General features: G+C 45.8%; 1 protein-coding gene across 4 annotated transcripts in view; it reads right to left on the bottom strand.

The window, feature by feature from the left end:
* UBASH3B (ubiquitin associated and SH3 domain containing B) overlaps window positions 1-22,845 on the bottom strand; it is a 158,752-nt gene that overhangs the window by 15,829 nt on the left and 120,078 nt on the right. For 2 of the 4 annotated variants that reach the window (NM_001363365.2, XM_011543041.3), the window contains exons 2-9: window positions 22,369-22,426; window positions 21,435-21,621; window positions 18,950-19,148; window positions 15,423-15,592; window positions 9,337-9,545; window positions 3,811-3,943; window positions 2,369-2,489; window positions 1,612-1,734 (exon numbers count right to left, since the gene is read on the bottom strand). In NM_001363365.2, coding sequence (NP_001350294.1) covers window positions 1,612-1,734; window positions 2,369-2,489; window positions 3,811-3,943; window positions 9,337-9,545; window positions 15,423-15,592; window positions 18,950-19,148; window positions 21,435-21,621; window positions 22,369-22,426 — 1,200 coding nt within the window. The remainder of the gene's footprint in view (window positions 1-1,611; window positions 1,735-2,368; window positions 2,490-3,810; window positions 3,944-9,336; window positions 9,546-15,422; window positions 15,593-18,949; window positions 19,149-21,434; window positions 21,622-22,368; window positions 22,427-22,845) is intronic. The other 2 variants (NM_032873.5, XM_005271712.4) reach the window with 1 other exon arrangement.

Genomic DNA, 22,845 nt, shown 5'->3' with positions numbered 1-22,845 from the left:
CTGCCTCCCGGGTTCAAGCCATTCTCCTGCCTCAGCCTCCCGAGTAGCTGGGAGTACAGGCGCGCACCACCACACCCAGCTAATTTTTGTACTTTTAGTAGAGATGGGGTTTCAACATGTTGGCCAGAATGGTCTCGATCTCTTGACCTCGTGATCCGCCTACCTCAGCCTCCCAAAGTGCTGGGATTACAGGCGTGAGCCACCACACCTGGCCCCTTCTTGTCTTTTCTTTCCCTTCCCTCTGGTGCTAACAAGTGGTAAAGGCTTTAGCTAGGAGATATTTAGAAACAGGACAATACTTTGGCTTCAAGTTTGTGAAAGAGGATTTATTTTATGAATATTAGGTCTTGTTTTAATTTTATTCTGTGCTAACCAAAATCTCAACATGTCATATTTTTAGATACCAGAGATAAATCCCAACACCTCATACTTTAATGCTATCCTCATAAAATCCACTTCTTTAAAAAATTTATTATTATTCTTAATTTAATTTTTAGAGATAGGGTTTTGCTCTGTCACTCAGGCTGGAGTGCAGGGGTGTGATCATACCTCAGTGCAGCCTCGAACTCCAGGTCTCAAGCAATCCTCTTGCCTCAGCCTCTCAAAGTGCTAGATTATAGGTGAGAGCCATCACGCCTGGCCTGGAATCCAGTTATTTTGTCTACTGGATTAAATCCAAACACCTTAATATGGTGGCCAAGGTCTTCCATGAACTTGCCTTTATCCATCTTGCTAGCCTCATCTCTGCCTTGCCTCACAATTTATACTCTAGACACAAGACACTTTGTTTCCCCTGCATTCCTGAGGCTGTTTCTCAAGCCTAAGACTCTTTATGTGGTCCCTCCCACTGAGAATGCCATTTCCTCACTCCTATTCCTTCTTTGCCCAGCTAACTTCTACTTCAGCTCTCAGCTCACCTCTTCACTCTTAGATGTCTTTTTGTGTTCCCATAATATTCTGTGACCATGCATAGCTCTATGCATATCACTATGTCTGGATGCATGCAATCAATACATACACATTAGTGCATAGCTCTATGTATATCATATTGTATGATATTTATCCACACATAAGTTTGTTTCCCTGACTCACACTTGGGTTCCCCTAGTCCAATACCTTGCACAAAGTAAGTGAGCACTAAATATCTGCTAAGTGACTGAACAGAAAATACTATCTCCCCGTGCCAGTAATGGAATGGGCTTGCAAAGAGCTAGGCATCTTCAAAGGATCAGTTGGCCTTTACAAATTCAGCAAGTCCAGGGTCCATCTTCTTCACTCTTGTCCTCTTCCACAGCCATGTTTGGCAGATGCTGCTGTCTTGAACTAGAAGCTGACCTGTCTGCTACATCCAAGAGTGAGCACAGTAACCCACGCCATTACTGGATCACGTGCTCCTCAATAAGGACCACACCTCATTCACTTTGGTCAACCAACCCAGGGCTGAGCACAGTGTCCTAAACTTAATGGTTGTGTAGTAAGTTCCTTTTGAATTGAGGAAACTTGTAGGAAAGTTATAGAAACCCACAGGAAGTGTCTTGCATATCCATGGTACCAGTGTTTTGAAGGAGGAGGCAAGAAATGCCTGGAGTGCAGTCACTCCAGGATACTTACCCACTAGTCTTGCTTGCATGCATCCAAACACAGTGATGGGAGCATCTTTCTCGTAATCTCGGAAACCACCACTCCGCTGAGGTAAACTATGAGGCATGTTCAGGTTGGTGCGTATGTAGCGGCCTGAAAAACAAAGAGGTTAGACAGAGGATACATACATTTCTTGTTTACTTGGGACTCCCTTACTGATCCTGACACTCTCCACCCCCATTCCTTCTTGGCCAAAGAGATCACACTGAGCTCTCTGGAGCTGATAGAAAATATCAAGGCTGACATTTTGTTTCATAAAGTGACTTGGAATCCACTTTTCCATTCTACTGACAAAAGTGACATGAGGTAGTTTCTCAGTGAAGGTAATAACCAGGCACTTTAAAGCAGGTGAGATTCCCTGGTTAAGCAAGCCTCTGTATCTTCAAATGCTACTCAAATGAAAATGGAACCGAGCGAGCCAGGGAGATTTAATGGCAGGAACTCTGGCCATAGGATCAGGGCACGTTTCTGCTGCTGACTTTGCCATATGACCTGGGGCAAGACATCTGTCTTCTTTGGTCCGTGGTATCCCAGTTTATAGAATGGGGACAAGAACACTTACTTCTTCTCTAAAGCTCAAGACAATCAGGAGGGGCTTACACATGACAGACATCTTCTATAGTACGCAAAACTATGAATGACTCCATCTAGATAACTGTAGCTTGACTGTGCCGCCTAGAGGCCACTATGGGTATGGCAGTGCTGAGCAGGCCCACCACCAACTCACCTTTGGCATCGAAGCACTGGGACAGCCAGTACTTCCCAAACACAACATCCATCCTCTCACCATGCCGACACACAAAAAGGCATCGCTTCTGGGGGCCGGGCTGGCTGTTGACCCTCAGCGGCTGCAGAGAAAGAAAGGCTATTAGTGAAGACACACATGGCAAAGTGGACATGTCTTGGAGCCAGGTGCCAGGTGAGCTGAGCTCTACTACCAAAGTTCTGCCAAGGTATGACTTGGTGAGGACAGTAAGACTCGTCCTACAGACCTCATAAGTTATTTGGAGGCTGGAATAAGATAAACTGCATGTGCTTTATAAAATAGGAAGGGTTATGAAAAGGGCATTATTGTTGCTACGGCTGCTCTTTGTAGGAGTAGCATTTGGCCATTAAAGTGGCCACTAAAATATGACGTCCACTTTAAGTTACAGCTCAGAGGTAAAACTAGCCATTCATGTAGAGAGAGCCATCTAGTGGGGCACCTTCCCCCCAAAAAGGGGCAATTCATCAACTTCTTCAGGGAGTGAGGACTTCTGTGATCACAAATGTGTCTACCTCTTCTCTAAAGTGTGTGGACAGACCACATGGTCCTCATGGTCTGCTCCAGTAATGAGACCCTGTTTTCCTATTCTAATCACTATGTAGCCTCTGCTGTCTGACTATATATATGATCCCCAAAATGAGACAACTGCTACCTCTGGGTGATGACATAGGCAAATCTAGTCAAAGGCTTGTCCAAATGACTTTGGCTTCTATAACTGCTGGATGGAACCTTACAGCTGTTTCTGCATTCCGTCTTTCTGATGCAGTCAGCTTTTCCAGTTTCCTTAGCGCGGGCCAGCACTTCACATTTGCTTCTAGTTGCCCTGACGTGGTTAATATGTGGAACGGTGGCATGATCCTTCCCATCTCTTTTCCTGTTGTTCCTTAATTTAAATCCTGGGCTCCAGCCACAATGGTTACTCTCTTGATCCTCAACATGCTTGAACTTTCAGCTTGCCTCTATTTGTACTGTTCAACAACGACTCCCTGCCTCCTTCCATCTCCAACCTTCCTTGAAAAAGTTAACACATACTGAGCACTCATTATATGCCAGTTATGGTGCTAAGAGCCTAATTTTATTATTTTCTTTAATCTTTGTAACAACCTACAAAACAGATACAACTATGGGCATTATTCCTACTTTAGAGATAAACTCTCCTCCTATCTCTGTGGAACAACGTTCCTTATGAACCTAGGTTCAAATGCTGGAAGTAACTGTCAGTACTGCTCATCTGACTCTTCCTAGCCTTGAATTTTTGTATATCTTTTATAATTTGGTGTACTTTCTTCCCAAGAGATCGTGGAAGCTTTGGAGACAGCAAGGGCAAGGCCTCATGCTTAATAAATAGGTTCTCAGTGAATCCTGGTTAGAGTTGGGGGTGTGACCCTAGCAATCAGCCTTACCTGCATGGGCTGGCAGATGATAGTAAGAGGAGTCGTCTCCCCGAGCCCCTGGTCCTCATAAGGCCGCCTCTCCAATACTCCATCCCCAAACGTGAGAGAGTTGGATGACGATGTATTTAAGATTGAATAAGAACTGCAGAGGAAGATAAGGAAGGTGTTAACTGCTCTGGCCAGCAGTCATCAGCACTTCCTCCTGGGCTCAACAGGAGTGTGGGAGTTAACTCAAAGCCCTCTGTGGGTAGCACAATGATGGGGGATGCTGAGCAGGAGTGGCCTCATTCCTAAGGGAAAAATACCTTGTTTTATACTGAAGTCTTGCAGTTAATAAATTAGAGGTAGGCCGGGTGTGGTGATCACACCTGCACTTTGGGACGCCGAGGCAGGCGGATCACCTGAGGTCAGGAGTTTGAGACCAGCCTGGCCAATGTGGCGAAATCCCATCTCTACTAAAAATACAAAAAATCAGCTGGGCGTGGTTGTGCGTGCCTGTAGTCCCAGCTGCTAGGGAGGCTGAGGTATGAGAATCTCTTGAACCTGGGAGGTGGAGGTTGTAGTGAGCCAAGATCGCACCACTGCACTCCAGCCCGGGCGATACGGCGAAACCCCGTCTCAAAAAGAAATAAGAATAAAAATAAGTAAATAAATAAATTAGAGGTAGATGGATTTCTGCACTGAGGACAGATATATTCATTCCTTTGGGCAGGGATGGATCCTAGTGATTTTGTGCCATGCATGGTTGGCACCAAAGACAAGTTCAAGAATAACAACGTATCAATGATCTGTTTGCAGCTATTTTTCTGGTTCAAAAGAAATCTACGATCCCTGTTGCCTTTAATATTTCCCGTGGTAATTTCCATCTGAAGTGAAGAGTGATGGGGGGTATTTTCACCATCTCCACCTCAGCCAGTGGCTCCTAACAGTCAAGGAAACTTTGTGCCAAAGTCCCCTATTCTACCCTCTTCGGTCTCCAAACCCTATCTCCCCCTCAATCACGCCTCCAACAAGATGATTACAAATAGAATTATTTCAGAGAAGACCATTCTCACCAGACGTTTAGAGCTGTGAGCCAAGAACTGTCATTTCTGAGTGTAACACTATAGCTACAGAAGCCTAAAAGAGGTCTTGCTGAAAGGAAGACAGTCAAAACCTGCCAAGCTTAAATTATTGTCAATAGTTAAGACTTCCACAAAGCTTTATCTAATAAACATTGCAATGTAAATATGGTTGTTAGGCAAATCCAGTGAACATCTTTGGAATCACTGAGCAGAGTCCAGGGGAAACATTTAAATTTTATAGATTTCTTGCTTCTTTACAATTTGGGTAGCCATCCATCCCAGTTTGCTCCATATACTCCTGGCTTGCATCTGTTGATGAGGCAACCCGTTTAGGCTACCACCTGTTCTGGATTATTCACTTTTAACATTGTATTATCAGAATTTTATTTTATTTTAGAGACGGAGTATTGCTCTTGTCGCCCAGGCTGAAGGGCAATGACATGATCTGGGCTCACTGCAACCTCCACCCTGCAGGTTCAAGCGATTTTCCTGCCTCAGCCTCTGGAGTAGCTGGGATTACAGGCGTGCGTCACCACGCCCGGCTAATTTTTGTATTTTTAGTAGAGATGGGGTTTCACCATGTTGGCCAGGCTGGTCTCAAACTCCTGACCTCAGGTGATCTGCCTGCTTGGCCTCCCAAAGTCATGCTGGGATTACAGGAGTGAGCCACTGCACCTGGCCCATAATTTTATTTTTGAAAATACCTTTTTATATTCACCAATATAATACAGCAAACTGGTTGTTAGTAAATTTTTGTTCCTTCACTTTCAGAAGTGGCTCCTTTTTCACTAGAAGTGATAGACTCATTCTATCTACTTATAAACGAAGTCTCAGAAGTCTCATGCCCTGAAAAACTGATTTTGAACCCTTGTGCATATCAGAATCACCAGGAGACTTAAAAAAAATACACTCGTGCTGGGGTTCTGCTCCTCACACATTGTGACTCAGTAGGTCAGGGGTGGGACCCAGGAACCTACAGTTCAACAAAGCAGCATCAGTCCATCTGCGTATGTTGCCAAGTGAAACCTGTTACAGTAAAATTTAAGTAACTGTAGCCCAAGGAAATCTTGTGCCGTTCACACAGTATAATAGACCAGCTATTCTACTTTATTTTAAACTAAGACCCTCCCAAACATCACACAGTTCAAGAAAATCCAGTTTGGCTGGGCACAGCGGCTCACGTCTGTAATTCTAGCACTTTGAGAGGCCGAGGCAGGCAGATCACCTGGGGTTAGGAGTTCAAGACCAGCCTGGCCAACGTGGTGAAACCCCGTCTCTATTCAAAATACAAAAATTAGCTGGGCGTGGTGGCACACACCTGTAGTCCTGGCTACTCGGGGGGCTGAGGCAGGAGAATCACTGGAACCCAGAAGGCAGAGGTTACAGTGAGCTAACATTGCACCACTGTGCTCCAGCCTGGGCAACAGAGTGAGACTCCATCTCAGAAAAAATTAAAAAAAAAAAAAAGAAAAAAAAAAAGAAAATCCAGTTTTATTGTCTGACTCATCAAAGCTTCAGGGTGCAAAATGTCTGGCTACCTAGAATCGTTCTTGTACATATCTGTTTGTTTCTTTATCGCAGCTGTGAAGATACTGATAGGATCCCTTCTCTCCCTCCTTCGTCTCCCATGGCAAGACGAATGCCAGCCTCTTTCCCTTCTTAACTGTCATTATAATCAAAGGACCTGACTCACTCTGAGACAGCGTGGAGCTGCCAGTTCCAGTAAGAAAACAGTCAGATGCTTCTTGCTCAGAACAGTGGAGGGAGGAAGCCGGGCCTGACATCCAGAACATCTCAAGCATCGGGAGAGCTGGCTTCTCCCTGCAACACACCAGGCCTGTGCTAAGCCCAAGCGGCCAGGCAGCTCACCCAGCTTCATCAACTTGTCTTGGTTCATAACTCAGAACCAAGTAAGACACTCCAGTTAGTGTGGAGAGAACATATTTCCTTAGGAGGGACTCAGAGAACTGAGAAGCACTTGGCAGGGAGTGTTGTCAAAATCATTGACCCCCAGTCATGACTTGTTGCCTGGATCCCCTGGGCAACTCCCACCATGCCAGCCAGGCCATGCTTGACATCCCCCTGGGGCTCTACCTCCTGATGTCTCTCTTGGGTTAGGAGAGAGAGAAGGTCTGTGTCTGTCTTACAAGGAAGCTGGGCTCTGCCTCCTTGAGTCATTTGACCTCTGGGGTTAAATAGGAAAGTGCAGTTCATCTACAGGATTGCTTTTATGGAAGACACATTTCCTTTGATGAGCACTAAGTGAGGACTGGCAAACACAAGATAGAAAAAAGAGAATAATCATCATTATGCAAATGGCGATTTTATAGTCACCGCTATACACCAGACTCTGAACCATGTAAAGCTAAGCTCTGTATTGCAGTCTTCCCAACAACCTTATGAGGTAAGTGCAATTATTAGTTCCATTTTCTAGATGAGCAAACAGAGGCTCAGAGAGGTAATGCAACTTTGCCAAGGCCACACAGCTGGTAAGTGGGAGAGTTATCGTTTAAATCCAAGACTATTGGAATCCAGTCTCAAATTCTTAATCACAATAAACTAATGCCTAACTTATTTACCTACTTTGAGCAGGGTTGGCTGTGGAAGCTGTTAGTTTAATTTCAGACATTGTTCTCAGAGACATGACATCATTAGTAATCTCTCGAATAAAAGATGACACAAAGACCTCCCTGGGACGCACTGACCGAAGTCACTCAGGTTCACCTATACATCGGCCTGAGTTGTAATTTAGGGAAGAGTGGGTTTGGATGGAGTGAACTCTAAGAGATCAGCACTGCTTCTCATATACCTCCACTTTTTTTTTTTTTTCAGACAAAGTCTTGCTCTGTTGCCCAGGCTGGAGTGCAGTTGCGTGATCTCAGCTCACTGCAACCTCCACCTCCTAGGTTCAAGTGATTCTCCTGCCTCAGCCTCCTGAGTAGCTGGGACTACAGGTGTATGCCACCACGCCCAGCTGATTTTTTTTTTTATTTTTGGTAGAGACGCGGTTTCACCATGTTGGTTTGGCAGGTCTTGAACTCCTGACCTCAAGTGATCCACCCACCCTGGCCTCCCAAAGTGCTGGGATTACAGGTGTGAGCCACCGCACCTGGCCATACACCCACTTTTAAGAAAGAGATCTGATAAAACAGCAACTCCAAGTACTGTAAAATAAAAAATAACAGATCTGAGAACTGTGCTTTGTCAGGCAAATAATGTTTTAGTTCTCAGTTTATTCACGCATATTTTGCTTTACTTGTTGTTGTAGGGATTAAAATGGAGACTTTGGAAACCCAGCTTATATATTTTGATCTTCCAAAGCATTTCTGAAAAAGCAAAATGTTTGGGGAACATAAGACAGCTTTGACCTCTAATTTTGTGCCATCCAATTCTGGAGGCTCATGGGCTGGGCTGAGGTGGGAGCAGAGTGAGGGAGAGGGGGAGGGATTGCTGGGTGGGGTTATTGAGGAAGAAAATATTCTTTCCCATCTTTGGATTTGTGGTTTGTCTGTTTGTGGCTCACTAGGGTAGGGGACCTTTATTTTCTCCTTCCAGGCAAAAGACTTGATGAAATCATCTCTCTCTGCTTCTCCTTTATGGCAATAATAACAATATTAGCCACCAAGCAGCTGGCGCTCAGGGCTTCTGCCTCTCAGCCATGTTGCCACATGACAAAAACAAGTGGGAGAAAAACAAACCAGCATGCAGACCCTGGCTAGATGCCCCAGTGTGCCAGGGAAGCGCTGGCTTTGAGCTGCTCCAACTAAGAAAGAGAAGATGGCTTTTGTTTCTATTTTATCTATTGGGACAAAGTTGGCCACTGAATGTGGTACCAGTATGGAATGGGGGCAAAATAGTAATGAGGGACGGGTGGAAAGTTATTACCCTAAAGAAGACTGGCAGAGGGGAGGGGGGAAATGGACCCCTTTTCAGTCTGGCAGTTGCCTGTTCCCTTAGACATGGTCTTTGTTGTCTAGGCATGCATAGGCTGTGTCTGGGGACTTGCTCAGGGTCACTTAGCAAATCAAGGATACAGTTAGGGCTCCTGCCTCTTGAAACCCCCTTCTCTATTGGTCTGGATGGCAGGGTAGTAATCCGCCCAGCTGCTTCGGGAAATCAGACCACCCTGACTCATGACCCAGGATAAGGTGGACAGAAGCCCTAAAGCAGTGAAGACGCAGCACTGGGATGATGCCACTCTTCGGCCAGAAGAGATGGACCCCAAGCCACCTCAGTTTAGTCTCTGATCAGGAACTGAAGCAGACAACCATGGCAAATGGGGCAGGCAGAGGGAAGCAGAGCAATCCATTTCGCATTTTCCCCATGCCTCAAATCAGCTCCTTTCCTGGAATTCTGGAATCCACAGGGCCTTCTTCCCATGGACTCCATTTACTGCTGCCCTGTGTATCCAGGATCCAGTCTGCCTTAGCAACATTCTTCAAATGGCATAAAGGTCTTTGTGTCTGCTTACCCATGAAATATCCAGGTGCTGCATTCATCAGCCTTGGTAATGTAATTCTCAGGCAGGAGTCCAGAGCAGCCGGTGGTTAAGGACGTGCCATAGATCCAACCCTCGCTGGTGCTGGTCTGCTCCATTGGAGACATGAAGATGAAGTCCCCGGGGACCAGCTCCAGCTCATCGTCATTTTGTGGGGTATAGGGGTAGATGACCTGTAATGTCTGGAAAAGGAAGAGAGGGTGAGTGAGCCCCATGCCTCACCATTCTCCTGAGCGCCTTGAGGGCAGGACTGTATGTTCTGCATTAATACTGCACACCTCCAGAGGGCGATGTGCCCAGGAGCCCTTGGGGTCTGCAGGCCCTGAGTAGATGTGAATTCCTATCAGAGAGCACTTCTCTCTTCAGGGTATTGACGGTGTATGCCTGGTGCTAGAAATGGTTTCATACTTTTCTTCAGGCATGTCTAGATTTCCCATCAGGATTCAAGTATCGTTTTTGGAAATTGACCTGAAATCCTGTAGGCTCTCTGGCCAACTGCTGTATAAATGGACATGGACCTAGCTTCCCTTGCTTCATCTGATAGTCACCATGATAGACACCTGAAACCCAGCTCATGGAAAGCCAGTCTTCCATACGGGGGTTACAGAGGGGCCAGGTGGAGTGTCTCTCCTCCAGGAAGGCTCAGGGAATGAAGTACCCCCTTTCTGTGTAACATAGCTCTTTATTTATGAATTATTATTATTATTATTTTGAGATAGAGTTTCACTCTTGTTGCCCAGGCTGGAGTGCAATGGCATGATCTCAGCACACTGTAGCCTCTGCCTCCTGGGTTCAAGTGATTCTCTTGCCTCAGCCTCCCTGGTAGCTAGGATTTCAGGCGGCCGCCACCACACCTGGCTAATTTTTGTATTTTTAGTAGAGACAGGGTTTCACCATGTTGGCCAGGCTGGTCTCGAACTCCTGACCTCAGGTGATTCCCCTCTCTTGGCCTCCCAAAGTGCTGAGATTACAGGTGTGAGTCACCATGCCCGGCCAACTTAGCTCTTTAAACCAGACATGGTTCTTGCCTTAAAGGAGTTTTCTTTAAACCTATAGTTTTAACAAAGATCCTGAAAGAAAAATGTCTAGACATCAGTGTCTATGTCAGCATGTAGCCAGCTTTCATCAGATGGAGAAAACGTTCTTACTTTGGGCTCCGAAACAGCCCCCAGGCCAAAAACAGGCCATGCCAGTTGGCTATTTATTCTTTATTTCTTTTTGCCTTCGTTTCCTGGTATGTATTAACATCACAGGTATAGGCATGAAGGTACTGTAGAGAACATTTATTTTAGTATTTTTTGTTACTAATAGTGGGAGACCTCAATAGTAAGGAAAATATTTCCTATCTTATTTGTTTCACAAGGGACACAAAGACGGAGAAAGCTTTAACAGCTTTTACTGTTTTCTAGGGTCTCAAAGCCGTTAGTTGAAGGCTAAATATTCTGGTCTCCATTTGCATATTTCTAACTTTGGCTTCAGGCTTCAGTTTCCTCATCTATAAAATAATACTTAAGCCCATAAAAGTTAAATGAGACAATCTAAGAAAACACCTTAGGACAGAGCCTTGTGCACCGAAGGGGCATAATTATTTCTACAGAACCAGAGCACCTGATCTCCCACGTCACATCCTTCCTTCCAGCCGACCCTGATCCCTGGACTCTGTGCTGGGTAGGCCTGTGAACTAATTGGCTGGTTGATGTCAAGGTGATACACCAGAACATGTTATAAAGAGAGAATTTCCTTCTGGAAATCGCTAAAGAAAGGAGCCAGTAAAGGTGTGATTCTTTTCAGAGGATGAGAGTGATTGTGCAGAGAGCTCATTTGCACCGCTGCATTTCCGATTTTCCTTTTATGTAGGGCACCTGTTTGTTTCCCTAATTCTGACTTCAGCATCTTTCAGTTCTAGGTCTTCCCTGCTCTGATTGCCTCCTTATTCTTCCTGTCCCTTTGCCTCATACACACTCAAACCACCTCCCCAAACAAGCCAGGAAGGTTTTCTGTGGGATTGTTAAATCAGCTTAAAGGGAAAAACAATTCACGCGAAATCTCATAAACTGCAAAGCTAAATGTGTGACGTCCCATGAAAAGGAACATTCTTTTTTTTCTGGGACAAGTGGAGAAAGTCACCGAGTCACAGGGAAACAAGCCTAAACTTGTGTTCCTTAAATGTTCAAGCACAGCATGGTCTTGGCTAATAATGCCTTTGGCCCAGTAGTGCCTTTCCCTTGAGAAACTCATGCGATTTCAGAGAAGTCCTCATTTGTTCTATCATGTGGGGCGGTGGGGGGGGAGCGGGGGTGGGTATTCATTCTATCTCTAGGTTATCCCCAGGAAAACTGAGGCACAGCTAAGGTTACAGACAAATATGTCCTAGGCATAGGGAAGCTGGACAATAAGTAGCTTCGATTTATTGAATGAACAATAAAAGAATTAAGGCATTGTAGCAAATCTAAAATTACAACTGGGACCCATGTCCCCAATGCCCTTTCTCACTCACCAAAAGCAGATACAAAACCTTAGCCTAAGTTTGAAAGATGTGAGAACACATGCCTAATTTATATTACATTCTACTTATTCTTTTGTTTTATGTTTGCCATCTACTTGTAAGAACTCTTTTTTTTGTGTGAGACGGAGTCTCGCTCTGTCGCCCAGGCTGGAGTGCAGTGGCATCATCTTGGCTCACTGCAACCTCTGCCTCCCGGATTCAAGAGATTCTCCTGTCTCAGCCTCCCGAGTAGCTGGGACTACAGGTGTGTACCACCAAACCTGGCTAATTTTTGTATTTTTAGTAGAGACGAGGTTTCACTGTGTTGGCCAGGCTGGTTTCGAACTCCTCACCTCAGGTGATCTGCCTGCCTCGGCCTCCTAAAGTGCTGGGATTACAGGCGTGAGCCACTGTGCCTGGCCTGTACTCATAAGAACTCTTGAATCCAGGACCGGCACTGTGGCTCACACCTGTAATTCCAGCACTTTGGGAGGCCGAGATAGGCGGATCATGAGGTTAGGAGATCGAGACCATCCTGGCTAACATGGTGAAACCCTGTCTCTACTAAAAATACAAAAAATTAGCCAGGCGTGGTGGCAGGTGCCTGTAGTCCCAGCTACTTGGGAGGCTGAGGCAGGAGAACGGCGTGAACCCAGGAGGCGGAAGTTGCAGTGAGCCGAGATTGCACCACTGCACTCCAGCCTGGGCGACAGAGTAAGACTCCGTCTCAACAAAAACAAAAAACAAAAAACAAAAACAAAAACAAAAAACCTCTTGAATCCACCTCAGGTATGTTTTTCCTCCTTACTACAATGGGATGGAACTCAGTTTGCTGAATGAAATGCAGCCACAGCCCTGAGTGAATACAAGAGCCGAACTGCCTTTGGAGCCCTTTTTATTCTCACTCACAATAATAGCTGCAGCAATTTTTCGTTGCTGTTGCACCCACCTTGTGCTGGGTATTACATTAGAGCCTTTCCATACATCTTCTTTATTTAGTCTTCATAACCATCTAGCAAAACATTGTCACCATTTTACAGATGAGAAAACTAAGGACTGGAGATTTATATAAGTTGTCAAAGTGAATTTAACCCTTGCTAAAGTGATGGAGCCAGGATTTGAAGCCAAGTGTGCTAGACTCCAAAATTGATGCTTTTTGGATCACCCTGTCCTTCCTCTGGATTTCTATCGGTTGGTATATTAAACTGGCATGGCCCAATGTAATCACTAACACGGAAGAGCCCATGTGAAATACAAATGGGATTCGCGTGTCCAAATCGAGTGAGAATCTAAATAGCAGAGGAATGAGGCCTTGGAGTTTTCCTAAGCATCACGGTGCCTTGCCAGAGTGTCCTTGCCTAAACCACTCTCCTTCTCTGGACATCTGTTCCCTCACTGGAACAATCAATCAAAACTGCCTCCTGGGGGCATGTTGAAGAAGGCAGGCAAGAAGAGGGTTACGTGTGCAGACGGCTCAGGTAGGACCGAAAGACCTCACGGGAGAGGTCCAGTCCAAAGGGGCCGAGGAGAGCTTTATCAGAACGAACGGTAATAAATGAGCTTTTACAAATAAGAGATAAAAGAGGCCAAGTTATTTTTAGAAAATAATTCCCGTGGGCGCTTGCTGCCTTTTTCCTTCCATGCCAATTGAGCAGAATGTGGGTCAGGCAGAAAAGCAATTACCCTTTGAGTTAACTGGAGGGCAGTGTTGATTAGAGGATATTCCTTGTAAAATTCCACTGCCACCTTCCTTCTCTTAGAAAGGTGACTTCTCAGAGGCCATCTGCACGCAACCCTTGACTTTTTTTTTCTTTGCCCTCAGAAGGAGTCCAACCAGTCACACCTCCCTTGTTATCTTCAGGGTTCGTTCTACGTGACTCTAGGAGATGTCAGAATTCTTAAATAAGATCAGGCCCAGTCTGCTCAAGGCATCTTACAGAAACCTGCATCAAATGACTCAAAAGGAGGACATCACGTTCCCATCAGCAGAGTCAGACAAAACTGCAGCCCCTGACACTCACAGGCGCATGCTTAACCCTGAACCTCTGACTCATGGGTTGGCTCTTCTACCACTTCCAAAACAATGAGCTTGCCTGCTCCCAGCCCTGGGGTTCTAACTGTTTTTCATGTTTTGTTTTTTAAAGAAGTCTAAAAGAGATGTTAAAAGGCTATGTAAACTAACAAAAATACCAGTTCTTTGGCTGTTTGAAAAATTGGGAAACAAATATAAGTATTGCTTAATAAATGTAGTTAAGTTGGAAGGCACATTTTTAACAAACGATGAGGTCTTTTGTGGGTGGGTAGAGATACAGTCTCACTATGCTGCCCAGGCTGGTTTGGAACTCCTGGTCTCAAGCAATACTCCTGCCTCAGCCTCCCAAAGTGCTGGGATCATAGGTGACAGCCACCATGCCTGGCTATGATGTAGTTTTGTTTCAGACAGGTTGCCCTTCTTTATTGGTCAAAATACATGGGCTCTTGCTTCATCTCTAGCCCTAAATTACTAAGACACTAATGTTTTTTGTGTCTCAGCTTCTCCTTCAGGATAGAAAAAGACACTATTGGCCAGGTGCTGCGGCTCACGCTTGTAATCCCAGCACTTTGAGACACCGAGGCGTGCAGATCACCTGAGATCAAGACCAGTCTGGCCAACACAGTGAAACCCCGGCACTACTAAAAATACAAAAAATTAGCCCAGTGTGGTGGCGGGTGCCTGTAATCCCAGCTACTAGGGAGGCTGAGGCAGGAGAATCGCTTGAACCCCAGGGGCAGGGGTTGCAGTGAGCCAAGATCGTGCCATTGCACTCCAGCCTGGGCAACAAGGAATGAAACTCCATTTAAAAAAAAAAAAAAAAGGCAATATTATGCTTCCAAGATGTCACATACTTGTCTAGAAGGCAATGTTGATTCCCTCAAAGGAAGGGTGCTAGGGGTGTACCAATCTTTCTTCTTGTGATGGAATTCAGTTTTCTCACTCAGGCCTCCCACTGGGATGTGCAGAAACTCTCACAAGAGGTGACTTGAGTTTTCTTTTCATGTGTGTCTGTTCTCAAAGCTCCTTGAGGACAGGACAACATTTAAAAATTCCAGTATGCTCCATGGTACTTTGCATGATACAGATACACAGCAAATATCTGTTGATTATGTCTTTGCAAGTGTTTTTGTTTTTTGTTTTGTTTTCTTTGGTATTTATATGTTCTTCAACTCACCTAAGGTCAAAATGATGTCTTCCATTAACACCATAAATTTATATAATATTAAAAATTTTCCAATATATTTTTTATTTATTCTCTCCCATTTCATTTCTTTTTTGCTGGAGTTGGATTGGCAGGGGAGACAGAACTAGGGGGATGTTACCCAGATGAACCACTTGTGACCCAGAGAGGAGGGAGGCAAGCTGGAAGCCTCCCAGTGAGGCAAGCAGAGGCTGGACACAATCCTGAGCCAACGGACTCTCTGTTAGGTGCTTGCTCCATTTTTCCCCTGTAGGTACCCATCTCCCTGCAGCAGCGAGCTGCTGATTCTGATTGCATCCCTGCACCTGGTAGCTTCTGGAACCACAGTGAGACATTACCTCATGGTTAGCAAATCGGATATCCCGAGAAAATATGGTAGCCACCCAGTCACACCCTAGCTTGACGTCAATGTTCTGGGCCAGTTTCTCTAGGGTGGGTAGGTGGCTGGCTTGGAAGTGGTAAGCCAGGGTCACATGTAGCTGCTTCTTATGAGGTTCCACATGCACTTCTGGAAAAAGGAAGAAAAAGGTCAGTAATTAAAAGGTGGTGATGATAGCAATGGTGAAGACTTAAGGAAAGGCATAGAAAGGTACCCTGAGAAATTCTGCTTCCCACATAACAAAGAAGACAAAAGACGTTTCTCTCCTTCACAGCAGTAGAATAAGGGGGTAAGGGGATGGCAAGAGATTCCGAATCAAGCCACTGTTCAAGAGATAGCCACCATACGGCTTTCCTCTAGGAGCTGCGGGTCAGCTGAGGGCAGTCCTTTTAGTTAAGTCCTTCTCACAACATTCCAGTTGGTGGTCACCAGCCCCACCTTTCAGAAGAGGGCACTATGACCTACAGTGATGAAATAATTTGTGTAGAAATACAAAGCATGTTTTATAGCTGCGTGACTCCCAAAGCTCTATTCCCTTCATTTTGGAATCACGTGTCTTAGCTTCTGGGTGAGATTGATGGAGAAATGAGGGGAAAAGATGGATATTTTCAAAGTTTAATGCAGGGTTTCTCTCAACAGCATTTTGGGTTGAATAATTATTTTTTGGGGGGGGTGGCTGTCCTGTGCATGATGGGGTGTTTCGCAGCATCCCTGGCCTCTACCCACAAGACGTCAGCAGCACTCTCCAAGCTGTAACAATTGAAAATGACCTCAGACATTGCCAAATGTACCCTGGGAGACAAAATCACCCTTAGTTGAGACATACTGGTTTAAAGTATACAGACTGTTATTCTAAGATATCCCAAGAGACAAAACAAAACAACCCTACCTATAGGAGGGAATGGCTTTTTTTTCTCTCTCTGGTACTTTTTTTTTTTTTTGAGACAGGGTCTTTCTCTGTTGCCCAGGCTAGAGTTAAGTGGCATGATCATAGCTCACCACAGCCTCCACCTCCTGGGCTCAAGTGATGCTCCCACCTCAGCTTCCTGAGTAGCTGGGACTACAGGTGTGAACCACCATGCCTGGCCTCTTTTGTATTTACAATGAGGGAGAATCATCTACTGTACAAACTAGAATAATGAAGAAGTTGCAACTAGAAGAAATTAGGGAATTTGAGAATTTAAGGAACTTGGTCAAGTCACACAGAGAATTAGTGGCCCAAGATAGAACTAGAAATTGAGCATTTCGGTTTTAAGTACTTTTTCTTTTATACTGCATTGCCTTTCTTTGGTGTAAGCCCCATGAAACAAGGTTTTTGTCTCTCGCTTACACTGTATCCTTACTCAGCATATCATGCAGGTTTTCAGTACTTGTTAAATGAATAAATGCACATGAATGAATCTCCCTTGACCACTTCAAATGGAGGAAGACACTAAATCTACTTGATGATATCTGGTCCTGCCAACAACTGGAGAATACCAAGTTCCAGGGCAAAGACATGGTGGCCGGCTTCCCATGCTGGGTAATAAGGAGCGGGACCAGCTAAGCTGCGCAGGGTCATCCAGTTCTCCACATCCCCACCAGGGGGCCACACAACAGCAGAGAAACGAAGCCGGCCAAGTTCTTCATGACAGCAGGATCTTGGAGAGGAATTGGCTCCACCCGCGTCCCACAGGGAAAGCTGGGGCTTCGACTGCTGCTCACTCAGTATGCACTCCAAGAATCTGTGCGGCCCTGGCTGAGGCTTGCTTTTCTCATTTGTGAAGGATTTGGGTTTTGCGGCTTTGACATTAGTTTTGGTCCTTGTGGGGATTTAGTGGTTCTGACAATAACTACTGTGGGATGAGAGAAAGCCATTTCCTTGAGATTGAGGGATAAGAGCAGGAAATAATTTGCCTCTCAGTTATGCTCTTTCTCTGAAATATTAAGCTCCTATGAAATGTCAGGCTTCACTGAAGTCAGGACCCGGAGACTAGTCCCGTCGCTGAGGGAGAGGAAGAGGTGGGGGTGGGGGTTGCAAAGTCTAAAGAGGACCCCTCCCCAGGTACAGAGGGGTCTTAAGGTCCTTGTGTTCCTTCCGAGAGCACTGTGATCCTGCAGTGATACTGAGCCCCGATCCCACTCATAGGTCCCAAGTCCTGTGTGGTGCTTTTCTGGTAAAGAGGAATATGGAACAAAGGGCCTGAGATGGTGATGAAAATAGCAGCAGGGAACAATGGCAGGTGAGGGATAGGCCAAAGGCCAAAAGGCTAAGGAGCAAACTGCGGCCTTGCTCAGGTCTTCCCCCTCTCTGGCACTCCCTAAAATTAGGGGTAGGGGAATTGTACGTCTCCTCCAGCTTTGCACTCAGCACTCGGCTTCCACTGTGCATCCTGCACCATCCACTCTGGTCAGGGCAGCCTCCCCACTGTCCTCTGCTCACACCATCTCATGCCTGCCTGCCTGTGCTCCTGCCACCCGCCCGCCTGCAGGCCTTTCCTCCATTGTCCTGATCAACATCGTCCCAGGGCAAGTTTCCTTCCTTCCGTGAAGGTAGAACCACCCCTTTCTCTTTTCAGAGCTGATGTTACACAGGGCCTGGCCGGGAGAAACCACTTCTTGTTCTCTTCCCTGTAGCACTCCTCATGTAGGAGAAATCCTCATAGTAGGTGACCAGTAAGTACCTGCCAATTGTGATTTCATGCTGGAGCGAGCCAAGAGGCTCTCCCCCCACCAGATTGTCTGTCTGTTTCCCTGCTGTCATTGAGCTAAGTGAGCTTGTCCACACCTGTAGTCAGACAGGAGAGCTTTGCAAACTTCTCCCTCTTTTCACCTCCATCGTGTCTCCTGCCTTGAGCACCCCCTTAAGCTAATTCCTTTGACAGGAAATCTCAGGTGTCCTGAACTAAGAGCTCCCATGAGAAGAGCAGGAGACATTTGGAAGGGGTTACATTTTTAGACAGACTCTTGGGGCTTGGGGTCCTGTCTAATGGTTTTCAGCAAGTTGAAGGGTATTGGTTCAGTGGATTTTATTGTGATATAATACGAAGTGCTTCCACTCTTCTCTCTATCCTCTGCTACCCACTGAGAAAAGATCTGGATTGTCATGGAGTGAACAATGAGACCCAGATAAACACCTACATGGGCGGGAGCTTGGGAGGGAGAAAGGATGTTTCTTTAATTCTGAATTAGGAGGAGATGGTGGTGCTACAAAGAAATACATTTCTAGTTCAGTATGGAAGTCATTTGTGAAACTTCAACTTGGGTGTTAGGGAATAAGCCTTAGACGGTCTCTCCAGGTCAGCAGAAGAGGGGTTGAACGTTTTTACAAGGGAGCAAGACGTGGGGTGCTGCAGGAAAAGGCTGTTTTTTTGTCACACGTCCATTCCTGCAGGGTCCTCCACCTCCTGACCCCATCCTGCTCCTCTACCACTATTTCCTATCCTTTTTCCTTTCCAACTCTTTGATTGACAGGGCCCAGGGCTGGCCTGGCAGCTGTTTGCTCACCGGTTTTGGATGCAGCCTCTGCAGCAAAGTCAGCAGCAAACTTCTTGAGGACCTCCGCACTGTCTTCCTTTACAAAGAGGCCGATGAAGTTGGACGACGTATAGAGCTCCAGGGGCAGCGGGGCCGAGAACTTACATTTCCAGCGACTGACCGTGGTCTGCAGGGCTTCCCCCAGGGCATCCACCTTGCTGTCCTCGCACTGGCAGGGAAAACAGGCAGTCTTCACTCAGAGACAAGGGGAGATGGAAGTCTGCTGCTACTTAACATTGGCATCCTCTCCCCAGAGACTGGAGGAGGCTGATAATGCAATTACTTAACCACTACCCCTGTCTGTGGGGAGAGAGGAACTGCAGACTTCCAATTATTCAGACACAGATTACCCAACTGGTGGATTAATGTGGGGAACACATGACCTCTTCCCTCCTTTCCTTGCTGTGAAGTGGCCCCCGTGAACCCAGCCAAAATGCTGCAGGACTGGTTGAGCCGAAAGCAAGAAAGGGGAGCGAGATTGGGGAGATATTGGTCAAAGGACGTAAAACTTCACTTAGGAGAAATAAGTTCAAGAGACCTATTGTACAGCACAGTGACTATAGTTCATCATAACATATTATATGCTTGAAAATTACTAAGAGAGTAGAGTTTAAGTGTTCTCACCACAAATGCCTGATAAGCATGCGAGGTAATGCATGTACAATTAGCTTGATTTAGGCACTCCACAATGCATACATATATTCAACCATCATGTTATACGCCATAAATGTATATAATTTTTATCAATTAGAAAAAAATCAGGCTGGGCGCAGTGGCTCATGCCTGTAATCCCAGCACTTTGGGAGGCTGAGGCGGGCAGATCACTTGAGGACTGGAGTTTGAGACCAGCCTGACCAACATAGTGAAACCCCATCTCTACTAAAAATACAAAAATTAGCCAGACATGGTGGCGGACGCCTATAATCCCAGCTACTTGGGAGGCTGAGGCAGGAGAATCACTTGAACCCGGGAAGCAGAGGTTGCAGTGAGCCAAGATCACGCCACTGCACTCCAGCCTGAGTGACAGAGAGAGACTATATATCCATAAAAAAAAAAAAGAAAAAGAAAAAAAAAATCAAAGTTCTCCTTGCTTGTGAAAAAAAAAAAAAAATGAAGGAATGTGACAGGAGAGAGTGCAGCATCCCAGGAGAAGCTGCGTGTTTTCTACTATTTTGTATCATCTGTACTTTTCTTTTCCTCTTAGATGATCAGAAGTTGACTCTACATCCACCCTCATGATAGTTGGGAAGAATGAGTCCCAGAGAGCTGTGACATCATCCTCCTACCTTCCTGAGAGCATTGGAAAAAAGAATGAACGTCTCTCAAACTCTGAAGGGTTTTGAGAAAGATCCTGGGATGACTAAGAGGAAATGACAGTCACTTTAATTTTCAGAGTGAATGGTAAAAGAGAAGGTGTTAGGAACATTATTATTACCTGAGAGAGAGAAAAAGAGAGAGAATATATCTGGGGAAGAAAGCAAAATATTTTTTATAAAAATGGTTTAAAATGCTACCACTTTGTTTGGTCTTGAATATATGGAGATAAATCAACTCTTCTCTATTACCACAGAGAGCTAAAGTAGACAAAATGTATTTACATGTGTGATAGTGAGGGGGATTATATTTGGTCAGTAGAGGCCAGGCATGGTGGCTCATGCCTATAATCCCAGCACTTTGGGAGGCTGAGGTGGGCGGATCACTTGAGGTGAAGAGTTCAAGACCAGCCTGGCCAACATGGTGAAACCCCGTCTCTACTAAAAATACAAAAATTAGCCGGGCATGGTGGCATATGCCTGTAATCACAGCCACTTGGGAGGCTGAGGCAGGAGAATCGCTTGAATTCGAGAGGTGGAGGTTGCAGTGAGCCGAGATCATGCTGCTGCACTCCAGCCTGTGTGACAGAGTGAGACTCTGTCTCAAAACAACAACAACAACAAAAATTGGTCAGTAGATAAGCTTTCTGACAGCTAGGATTATACACTAGGTAACAATGGCAAGTAAATATCTTTGCATTCTCTAGAAATATATAGCGGGAAAAAAAAAACTTGTGGACAGGAAATGGCTTTCCCTGTCTATAAACTGCCTTTGTTGTTCCCTGCTCTTAGTTCCTCCTCTTTGCTTGTCGTAAGAGTGGAGAGGGTAGACAGCAAACAGGTGTGAAGCTAGATCAGTGATTCTATTCCAGCAGCCAGACCAGTGTGTCCCTCACAGAGGGTTACAATCTGGTGCTGCCCCCATCCTGGGGTGCTCCTGGGCCTCAGCAGATAAAACTAGGAAGCGTTGGGGTGAGGGGCCCATTGTGGACCTCACTGATCCCTTGAAGGTCCCTCCAGCTGTAGGAGCCTGTGACTATTCCTGCTGTCTTCCTGCGAGGCCTCCCTTTGCTCCAGGTCCCAAAGGGCCGGCTGGGATCCTAGGAGCCAGGCTTCCCAGGGGTGGGGGCGCTGCCGCTCACCATAAAGAACTGGCAGAGTGTGATGTGGGGGAAGATGTTGTGTGCCTTGTTCTTCCCGCAGATCTGCTTCGACTGCTGCCAAAAGTCGGAAAGCTTCTGTGCTAAGGGGCCGGTGGGACGGAGGTAGAGGACGTACTCCCGGGGCAGGGGGTCATCCAGGAAGGGGTCACCGACATGGGAGAATAACCTGTAAGACAGAAGTAAGCCAACAAGGTGTCGCTTGAGAATAATGGGAGGGGAAAAAAGAACTGAGAGACAGATCCACCCTCCATGTGCTCCAAATCCCCGGCACAGCGCGGGGAAGGGTTTTCATTCATGATTTAAAAATCTACTTCTGGAAACTCACACTTCATAACCAATTCTCAGATGCAGCAACTTCTGTCTTCCTTCTTGTCATTTTGCCTCCTCATCCTACAACTCCCTAAAAAAGTCCTAAAACCGCTCTCCAGGAAGCATTCTTGGATCAACTCCAAATCCTTTCCCAATCCACTAGGACCAACCCAGCCTGTCCCTCAGGTCAGCCTGTAATTAAACCCATGTCCCTCCAAAGACAAGGGAAGCTCCCAGAGAGGTAACCTTGTAGGACCCACCCTGGGTAGGGATACCCTGGAAGATAAGTAGGGTACTTTTCTAAATGGATTTTCTCAATATCCATACCCCTAAAATGAATCTTTAAGTGACTGGAGCAGGGACAGATCTTATGAGAGAGGCTCTATCTGGGAATTACTTAGAATTTTCTTTAAACAGCTCCAAGGAGAAACATACCCTGGGGCCAGGGCAGAGGAGGCAATTGACTTGATAAACGCACTTGCCACAGTCTTTTGGCTCCTGTCTCTTCTGGAAGGGTCCATTAGAGAAAGTCTGCACCTCCCCACTCATCCACATGCACTTTGAGTTAATTATATGCTATTTTCTCAATTTATTTATCTCATACCAACCAGTCACATGCTGCCTGAACACTTCTTCCTCCCGTGGATGCCAAGGCTTTTTGTCTGAAAGAAGAAATCAAATTTCTATTGTTAATATTTTTAGCCTCCTCTCCCTGCAGTGGCAAGAGCTGAGTGTGAAGGAGGCGACATCAAAGCCTGTGTTCCACTCAATCCTCTGTGGTGGGGAGTAGACACCTGCAGCAGGTTTTCCCCCAAGGGTCATATCAAGACATATGGAAGTTAGGACTTGTAATTAATTTCCATGTGATTAGCATCAGATTTGCATGCAGTCTGACAGCCCAGGCAGTCTATTTTCAGCAGTTTCCACATTAGAGTTTTATTTTTGCTTCTCTAAAGGTTGTCATGTCTTGGTTTTTCCTCCTTCCTCTTCACCCACTCATTCTTAGTGACCCAGATCCCTGACAGAGCAGATTCTTGTTTTCAGCCCCTTTGGCAGAAAGTATTAGAAGTGGTGCTGATGG

Source organism: Homo sapiens, chromosome 11 (genome assembly GCF_000001405.40).
Source record: "Homo sapiens chromosome 11, GRCh38.p14 Primary Assembly".
NCBI lineage: Eukaryota > Metazoa > Chordata > Mammalia > Primates > Hominidae > Homo > Homo sapiens.
Note: the sequence above shows the minus strand (reverse complement) of the source record. Positions and strands in the feature narration are given on the sequence as shown.